Below are 9,454 nucleotides of genomic sequence, written 5' to 3' on the forward strand. Positions count from 1 at the left end.
GTATAAGGGAAACACATTTTTTTCTGCCACTTTACATATAAGGTATTTGTCTTTTTTATAAAAGGCAGTACTGGTGGCTCATGCCTGTAATCCCAGCACTTTGGGAGGCTGAGGAGAGCGAATCATGAGGTCAAGAGTTCAAGACCAGCTTGACCAACATGGTGAAACCCTGTCTCTACTAAAAATACAAAAAATTAGCTGGGTGTAGTGACAGGCGCCTGTAATCCCAGCTACTCAGGAGGCTGAGGCAGGAGAATCACTTGAACCTGGGAGGCGGAGGTTGCAGTGAGCCAAGATCGCGCCACTGCACTCCAGCCTGGGCAACAGAATGAGATTCTGTCTCAAAAAAAAAAAGCAGTGCTGTTTACCTCAAGAATAATGTCAATTTCTTCCTGAATCTCAAGTGGATGTCAGTAAGAAACTAATTATTATTATTTTGGGGGAGATTTTTATTGTAAGGATCAAGAGAATAAAAAAAAAAGAACCAGTTCTCAGGAAGGAGAGAAACTGGAAAAGCTCTCAGGGCCTCAGAAGGGGGAACTCACAGACAATCTTAGGGGCCACCCTTGGGATAACTTGGCACTAACTGCCTTGTCTCCATGTGACTCTGCTAGAGATTTTATTTTATAAACATTTTATTTTACTTTATTTATTTGAGACAGGATCTCACTCTGTAGCCCAGGCTGGAGTGCAGTGGCACGATCTTGGCTCACTGCAATCTCTGCCTCCCAGGCTCAGGCAATTCTCCTACCTCAGCCTCCCAAGTAGCTGGGATTACAGGCAGATGCCACCACACCTGTCTAATTTTTGTATTTTTAGTAGAGATGGGGTTTCGCCATGTTGCCCAGGCTGGCCTCAAACTCCTCTGAGCTCAGGGGATCCTCTGTCTCAGCCTCCCAAAGTGGTGGGATTACAGGTGTGAGCCACTGCGCCCGCCATTAAAAATATTTCAAATTGAAGTACAACACACAAAAACTGAACAGGTCTTAAGTATACAGCTGAAGGAACTTTTGCCAAGTGAACGCACATACTAACTGGCACCCAGATTAAGACTCAGAACATTGTCCATGCCCCAGAGTCTTCATGTCATCTACTAGTCATTGCCTCCCACAAGTATTCACTATTCTGACTTCTATCACAAATTTATTTTGCTTATTTTTGAACTTTATTGAAATGAAACCATACAGTATGCTTTAATGTCTGCCTTCCTTTGCTCAACATTATGCCTGTGCAATTGTCATGCCAGACTCCCATTGACCCCAATAGGGATGGCATCCTGAGAGGCTGAAGAAGTGATGTGGAGACAGCAACTGAGACATAGGGTTTATTGGAAGAAATTATACACAGGGATGGTCCAGTGGCAGCGGCTGGACAGGAGAACCACTCCCGTTTGTAAAAAGCATGCAGTTTTTATAGCATTTTTGCTTAGCACCCTCCATCTAGCAACCTCTACCTAGCAGTTTTCATTTAACCCAAAACAAAGGGCCTCAATCCCATGTACAGCCTGCATTCCGAGGGATGGACTAGGGGTTCAGATGTCCTTCATAGATAAGGAGGGAAACTCTGGGTTGACCACTCCCAGGTTCCTTAGCTCAGAACTCTGAACACACATTCCTCTTAGACCATAGGTTCATTCTTAAGGGTATACTTAAATTATTGCTGTCAGGTGCATCTGTCATACAGCAATGTATCCTACTGTTGCATACAACAGTAACTTGTTCTGATTGTTATACAGTATTTCACTCTATGAATACTATACCCTTGATATACATTTGGGTTGTTGCCAATTTGGAGATATTATAAACAAAGCTACAAATGAACGTTCTTGCACATGTCTTTTGGGTCACCCATGTTTTCATTCACCAAGAGTGGAATTGCTGGGGGATAAGGTAAACGCATATTCAGATTTAGTAGACTGTTGCCAAATGGCTTTCCAAAGTGGCTATGCCAATGTACATTCCCAACAGCAGATGATTACTTTCAGTTGTTCCAGATCCTTGCTAACATGTGGTATTGTCATTTTAAAATTTTGTATCCTTTCTGATACGTGAGTAGTGCTATCTCATTGTGTGCATTTCCCTGATGACTAATGATAGAGCACCTTCTCCTCATATGTTCATTGAACAATTAAATATCCTCCTTTGTGAAGTGCCTATTTAAGTATTTTGCCTGTCTTCTTATTGGGTTGTCTGTCTTTACATTATTTAGTCCTTTATTAGAATTCACACCTAAAATTTAAATTTCCAGAAAAGCCTGGGCACGGTGGCTCATGCCTGTAATCCCAGCACTTTGTGAGGCAGAGGTGGGCAGATCACTTGAGTCCTGGAGTTTGAGACCAGCCTGGGCAACATGGCAAAACTCTGTCTCTACAAAAACTACAAAAATTAGCCAGGCGTGGTGGTGTGTACCTGTAGTCCCAGCTACCTAAGAGGCTGAGGTGGGAGGATCACCTGAGCCCAGCAGCCATGATCACACCACTGCACTCCAGCCTGAGTGACAGAATGAGACCCTGGCTCAAAAAAAAAATGAAAAAAGAAATGTTAAGTTATCCTAAAAAGCTCTCTGGTTCTTAATAATTCTAAAATTGTTTCCCTGCAATATTATTATCAAATAAGAATCAGGAGTAATTTTGGTTAAATTACTCCTGATAAATATGTAACACAAAACATATAAATATGTTACATAACAGATAAATATGTTTGGTAGAATATAACATATTTTTATTCCAACAAATATAATCTAGTATTCTATGTGTTTTATTAAAATCTTATATTAATGTAGTAACAGTATTTTTCATTAATTGATATGGTTAGGCTGCATCCCCACCCAAATCTCATCTTGAATTGTAGTTCCCGTAATCCCCACATATTGTGGGAGGGACCCGGTGGGAGGTAATTTAATCATGGGGGCAGTTACCCTCATGCTGTTCTCGTGATGGTGAGTGAGTTCTCATGAGATCTGATGGTTTTATAAGGGGATTTTCCCCCTTTTGCTTGGCATTTCTCCTTGCTGTTGCCATGTGAAGAAGGACACGTTTGCTTCCTCTTCTGCCATGATTGTGTTTCCTGAGGCCTCCCCAGTCCTGTGAAACATTGAATCAATTAAACCTCTTTCCTTTATAAATTACCCAGGCCAGGTGTGGTGGCTCATGCCTGTAATCCCAGCACTTTGGGACGCCGAGGTCAGGGATCACCTGAGGTCAGGAGTTTGAGAACAGCCTGGTCAACATGGTGAAACCCCATCTCTACTAAAAATAAAAAATTAGCCGTGCGCGGTAGTGGGTGCCTGTAATCCCAGCTACTCGGGAGGCTGAGGCGGGAGAATCGCTTGAACCCGGGAGGCAGAGGTTGCAGTGAGCCGAGATCACGCCATTGCACTCCAGCCTGGGCAACAACAGCAAAACTCTGTATCAAAAAAAAAAAATTTACCCAGTCTCAATATGCAATCTCTGCCTCCCAGGTTCAAGCGATTCTCCTGCCTCAGCCTCCCAAGTAGCTGGGATTACAGGCGCCTGCCACCATGCCTGGCTAATTTTTTGTATTTTTAGTAGAGACGGGGTTTCACCATGTTGGCCAGGATGGTTTTGATCTCTTGACCTCGTGATCCGCCCGCCTCAGCCTCCCAAAGTGCTTGGATTACAGGCGTGAACCACTGTGCCCGGCTAGCACTATTCTTTTAAAAATTAATATATTATAAATAAGGCTAAAGTCATTTTTTATTTGAATTCCCCAAATCCTAGTACCCTCCCCTGTGCCAGAAGTAGCCGTTGTTTTAAGTTTGATGTGCACAATTCACTACAGTAAACAGTATATACATTGTTCTACAACTTGCTTTTTCCCTTCCACACTTTGTCTTGTTATGCTGTGTTGCATACTCATCTAATTAATACATTTCAGCAGCTTTAAGAAAAAATACAATATCAATATAGCACAATTTATTAAAGCTATTCCCCTATGGATGTCAATTGGGTTGTATAGAGTTTACATTGTTTCATGTGACTTTTTCACATAATAGGGAAGACATTTCTATACACAAAATTGATCAAAAAAGCTCAATGTTTAACACAGAGAAAAAAATTACATTTGCAGTCAATACTTTTGTATCTATTCTGCAATAAAAACTTTTATATCCTTTGGCATCACCTAAAACATATGGTGAGGGAATGCCCTCTTATTCTAAAATTCTGTGATTCTCTAAGTATTCCCAATAGGCTATGCCAAGTTGTTTTTTGTTTTCTTATCATACACTGGATAGGTAGTGGGTTTTGTTTATTTGTTTGAAATAGGCCGGGCGCGGTGGCTCAAGCCTGTAATCTCAGCACTTTGGGAGGCCGAGGCGGGCGGATCATGAGGTTAGGAGATCGAGACCATCCTGGCTAACACGGTGAAACCCCGTCTCTACTAAAAATACAGAAAATTTGCTGGGCATGGTGGCGGGCGCCTGTAGTCCCAGCTACTCGTGAGGCTGAGGCAGGAAGGAGAATGGTGTGAACCCGGGAGGCGGAGCTTGCAGTGAGGTGAGACTGCGCCACTGCACTCCAGCCTGGGTGACAGAGTGAGACTCCATCTCAAAAAAAAAAAAAAAAAAAAGAATAAGGGTGTTTAACATTAAATTTCTTGGCATTTTTACAATATAAGTCCCTTATCTGTCCCCAAAATATTTGATCACATTTATTAAACATAAATATCTCTTTCATGTATGTGTGGATCTTGAATAGAAGGGTATGTTTCATGTAAAGGTTGGTATGATGTTCAACAGACAGCATAGAGTTCAATATACACTAGAGAGTGAGATGACCCATAAACTGAACCAGAGCTAGTAGTAATGAACATATAAACATGAGCACATGTAGAGTTCAAAGAAATCTGAGGGATTGCTTTGAATTTCTCTAGAGCCTGGAATAATCATTAAAGTCACTCTCAGTATAATCTCATGGGCAAGGAAAACTTCAATTGCTCATGGTGTACACAAGTCTTTACTGGGTTAGGTGCAGTGGTTCAAACCTGTAATCCCAGCATTTTGGGAGGCCAAGACAGGAGGATCACTTGAGCCCAGGAATTTGAGACCAGCCTGGGCAACATAGTAAGACCTCATCTCTACAAATAATTTTTTTAAGATTACCTGACTGTGGTGGTGTGCATCTGTAGTCCCAGCTACTCAGGTGAGGTGGGAGGAGTGGTTGAGCTCAGAGGTCAAGGCTGCAGTGAGCTGTGATGGCAACACTATACCCCAGCCTGGGCAACAGGGTAAGACCCTGTCTCCAAAAAAAAAAAAAAAAGACTTTACTAAAGGCTAGGCAATAACGAATAACCAAAGGGAAATAAACACAACATGTAACACCAAACTAGATTGTCTGGTTGTTACATGACTGTAATAGGTCTGTTGCCTGATGTGCATGGTAAGCCAATTTGCCAAGACACCAGGTTGCAGCAAAGAAAGAGTTTTAATTGTAGGGCTGCCATATGAGGAGATGGAAGGAAACTTCAAACTCCCTGAGGAGTTTGGGGCTAGAGTTTATAAGGGTTTTGGAGTGAGCCAAGGAGTGACGATTGTTGCTTGGTTGAAGAGTACAAGATGAAGTCATGGTACAAGATGAAGAAATGATATTCTCATGTTGATGCTGATTGAGTTACCCTATGAGGGTCTTGAACTGCTTGGCATCAGCTGTTCTGCTGGAATTCAGGATCTGCTTAAGCAATTCTTAAAGTGTTAGGACTCTAATGTCAGAAATCATATCTATCTTAAACAAAAGCTGTATGATTCTAGGGCCAGGAATCCTATTTATAGGTATAATGGGGGTGCAGATGGCCAGTATCTAGTGTGATATGACTTTCAGTAACAAGGAAGTGGGTCAACATGCAGACTGATTACCGCTTGATTATAATTATTTCTGTCCAGATTTCTTGTAAAGCCCCTGAGGGTGGTATATTAGTCTGTTTTCATGCTGCTGATAAAGACATGCCTGAGACTGGGAAGAAAAAGAGGTTTAATTGGACTTACACTTCCACATGGCTGGGGAGGCCTCAGAATCATGGCACGAGGTGAAAGGCACTTCTTACATGGTGGGAGTAAGACAAAAAATGAGGAAAAAGCAAAAGCGGAAACCCTGATAAACCCATTAGATCTCATGAGACTTATTCACTATCATGAGAATAGCACTGGAAAGACCAGCCCCCATGATTCAATTACCTCCTCCCACTGGGTCCCTCCCACAATATGTGGGAATTCTGGGAAATAAAATTCAAGTTGAGATTTGGGTGGGGACACAGCCAAACCATATCATTCCACCCCTGGCCCCTCCAAATCTCATGTCCTCACATTTCAAAACCAATCATGCCTTCCCAACAGTCCCCCAAACTTAACTTATTTCAGCATTAACCCAAAAGTCCACAGTCCAAAGTCTCATCTGAGACAAGGCAAGTAAGTCCTTTCCGCCTATGAGCCTGGAAAATCAAAAGCAAGCTAGTTACTTCCTGAATACAATGGGGGTACAGGTATTGGGTAAATACAGCCATTCCAAATGGAAGAAATTGGCCAAAACAAAGGGATTACAGGGCCCATGCAAGTCTGAAATCCAGTGGGGCAGTCAAATTTTAAAGCTCCAAAATGATCTCCTTTGACTCCAGGTCTCACATTGAGGTCATGCTGATGCAAGAGGTGGGCTCCCATGGTCTTGGGCAGCTCTGCCCCTGTAGCTTTTCAGGGTACAGCCTCCCTCCTGGCTGCTTTCACAGGCTGGCATTGAGTGTCTGCAGCTTTTCCAGGTGCACAGTGCAATCTGTCAGTGGATCTACCATTCTGGGGTCTGGAGGATGGTGGCCCTCTTCTCACAGCTCCACTAGGCAGTGCCCCAGTAGGGACTCTGTGTGGGGGCTCCAACCCCACATTTTCCTTCTGCACTGCCCTAGTAGAGGTTCTCCATGAGAGCCCCACCCCTGCAGCAAACTTCTGCCTGGGCGTCCAGGCATTTCCATACATCTTCTGAAATCTAGGCAGAGGTTCTCAAACCTCAATTCTTGACGTCTGTGAACCCGCACGCTCAAAACCATGTGGAAGCTGCTAAGGCTTGAGGCTTTCACCCTCTGAAGCCACAGACCAAGCTCTGTGTTGGCCCCTTTCAGCAATGTCTGGAGCAGCTGGGACACAGAGCACCAAGTCCCTAGGCTGCAACACAGCACAGAGACCCTGGGTCTGGCCCACTAAACCATTTTTCCCTCCTGGGCCTCCGGGCCTGTGATGGGAGGGGCTGCTGTGAAGTCTCTGACATCAACTGAGAGACATTTTCCTCATGATCTTGGGGATTAACATGAAGCTCTGTGCTACTTATGCAAATTTCTGCAGCTGGCTTGAATTTCTCCTCAAAAAAAAAATGGGTTTTTCTTTTCTGCATTGTCAGGCTGCAAATTTCCTGAACTTCTATGCTCTGTTTCTGTTTTAAAACAGAATGCTTTTAACAGCACCCAAGTCACGTTTTGAATGCTTTGCTGCTTAGAAATTTCTTCCACCAGGTACCCTAAATCATCTCTCTCAATTTCAAAGTTCCACAAATCTCTAGGGCAGGGGCAAAATGCCACCAGTCTCTGCTAAAACATAACAAGAGTCACCTTTGCTCCAGTTCCAACAAGTTCCTCATCTCCATCTGAGACCACGTCAGCCTGGACCTTATTGTTCATATCACTATCAGCCTTTTTTTCAAAGCCATTCAACAAGTCTCTAGGAGGTTCCAAACTTTCCCACATTTTCCTGTCTTCTTCTGAGCCCTCCAAACTGTTCCAACCTCTTTGTGTTACCCAGTTCCAAAGTCGCTTCCACATTTTTAGGTGTCTTTTCAGCAATGCCACACACTACTGGTCCCAATTTACTGTATTAGTCCACTTTCATGCTGCTTATAAGACATACCCTAGACTGGAAAGAAAAAGATGTTTAATTGGACTTACAATTCCAAATGGCTGGGGAGGCCTCAGAATCATGGTGGGAGGTGAAAGGCACTTCTTACATGGCAGTGAAAAGAGAAAAAATGATGAAAAAGCAAAAGCGGAAACCCCTGATAAACCCATCATATCTCATGAGACTTATTCACTATCATGAGAATAGCATGGGAAAGACCAGCCCCCATGATTAAGTTACCTTCCCCTGGGTCCCTCCCACAACACATGGGAATTCTGGGAGATACAATTCAAGTTGAGACTTGGGTGGGGACACAGCCAAGCCATATCAGGTGGCTTCAATAACTTGCTCACCAGAGCTCCCAATCCGCCATCCAGTTGCATTCATCTTAGATGTATCACTTAGGGGACTGAACCTGGACACCTATTGTTTTAGTTAAGAGGCTTTCCACCTCAATTAACAGAAAACCAACTCCACTCCTTAAACAGTGAAGGTGGCTTATATAACCAAATGTCTTGATATATGCAGACTTCAGGTACCATATAGTCATTGCCGGACAGGTTCTTCCTCTCCACTGCACAGACAAAATCAATCCACTGAGATGGCAGCACTGCAGTAGAGAAAGAGTTTAATTGACATGAGGCAAGCCCATGAGGGAGAACTGGGCTCAAATCAGTCTCTGAAGATTTGGAGGTTGGGAGTTTTTAGGGAGTAGGTGCTGCTGATTGGTTGGGGATGAAATCGTAGGGGTGTGGAAAATAGTCCTCATGGGCTGAGTCTGCCTCTGGGTGGGGCCACAGGATTCATTGAGTCATGAGTTCAGGTGGAGTCCATCTGAAAAACATCTCAAACTAATTATAGGTTCTGTAATAGTGATGTTATATAGGAGCAATTGGGAAGGTCACAAATCTTGTGACCTCTGGTCACATGACTCCTGAGCAGTAAGGGATTAGAAACTATGCCTACATTTTAGCAGAGTTCAGCACCCTCTCATAATCCGAAGCTTGTGGCTTTTTATTCGTTTTACAGATGCAGTTTAGTTTTGGGAAGGGCTGTTATTATCCCTGCTTTAAGGTTAAACTATAAACTAAATTCTCCCCATGGTTAGCTTGGCCCACACCCAGGAAAGACCGAGGATAGCTTGGAGGTCAGAAGCAAGATGGAATCAACTATGTCAGATTTCTCTTACTGTCATAATTTTGCAAAGGCAGTTTCAACATAATCAAAGTTCTAGCCTGATTTTCTTGCAGTGTTTGCGAGTCCATTCTCCACGTGTAGGTTTTGTTCTCAGGCTGGCTTCCCTCAAGGACACAAATTAAGCAACAGGTTTCTTTGCTTACATTCAATATGGAACAGTGAGATCTACTTTCCATTATTATCACTCAAATATAAAGAACTTTCCCAAAAGCTATTAGTAGCTCAAATTTTATTGGCCAACACTGAGGTACATTCCCATTCCTAAACCATTTGCTGGCCAGGGATGAGATTACATGGTTAGTTTACCTTAACCAGTCCTTACTTTGTGAGCTGAGGATGGTGTTAGCTTTCCCTAATCCCAAAGGTTGGA

The 9,454-nt window shown here is 43.2% G+C and overlaps 1 annotated feature.

Moving 5' to 3' along the window:
• Positions 693-860: a silencer, noted in NCBI's record as "fragment chr15:56300574-56300741 (GRCh37/hg19 assembly coordinates)". NCBI's record gives its function as "represses an EF-1alpha promoter that drives an FKBP-Casp9 reporter gene in an ReSE screen in K562 erythroleukemia cells {active_cell/tissue: K562}" and the evidence as "EXISTENCE:reporter gene assay evidence [ECO:0000049][PMID:32094911]".

This window comes from Homo sapiens, chromosome 15 (genome assembly GCF_000001405.40).
Source record: "Homo sapiens chromosome 15, GRCh38.p14 Primary Assembly".
Classification (NCBI taxonomy): Eukaryota; Metazoa; Chordata; class Mammalia; order Primates; family Hominidae; genus Homo; species Homo sapiens.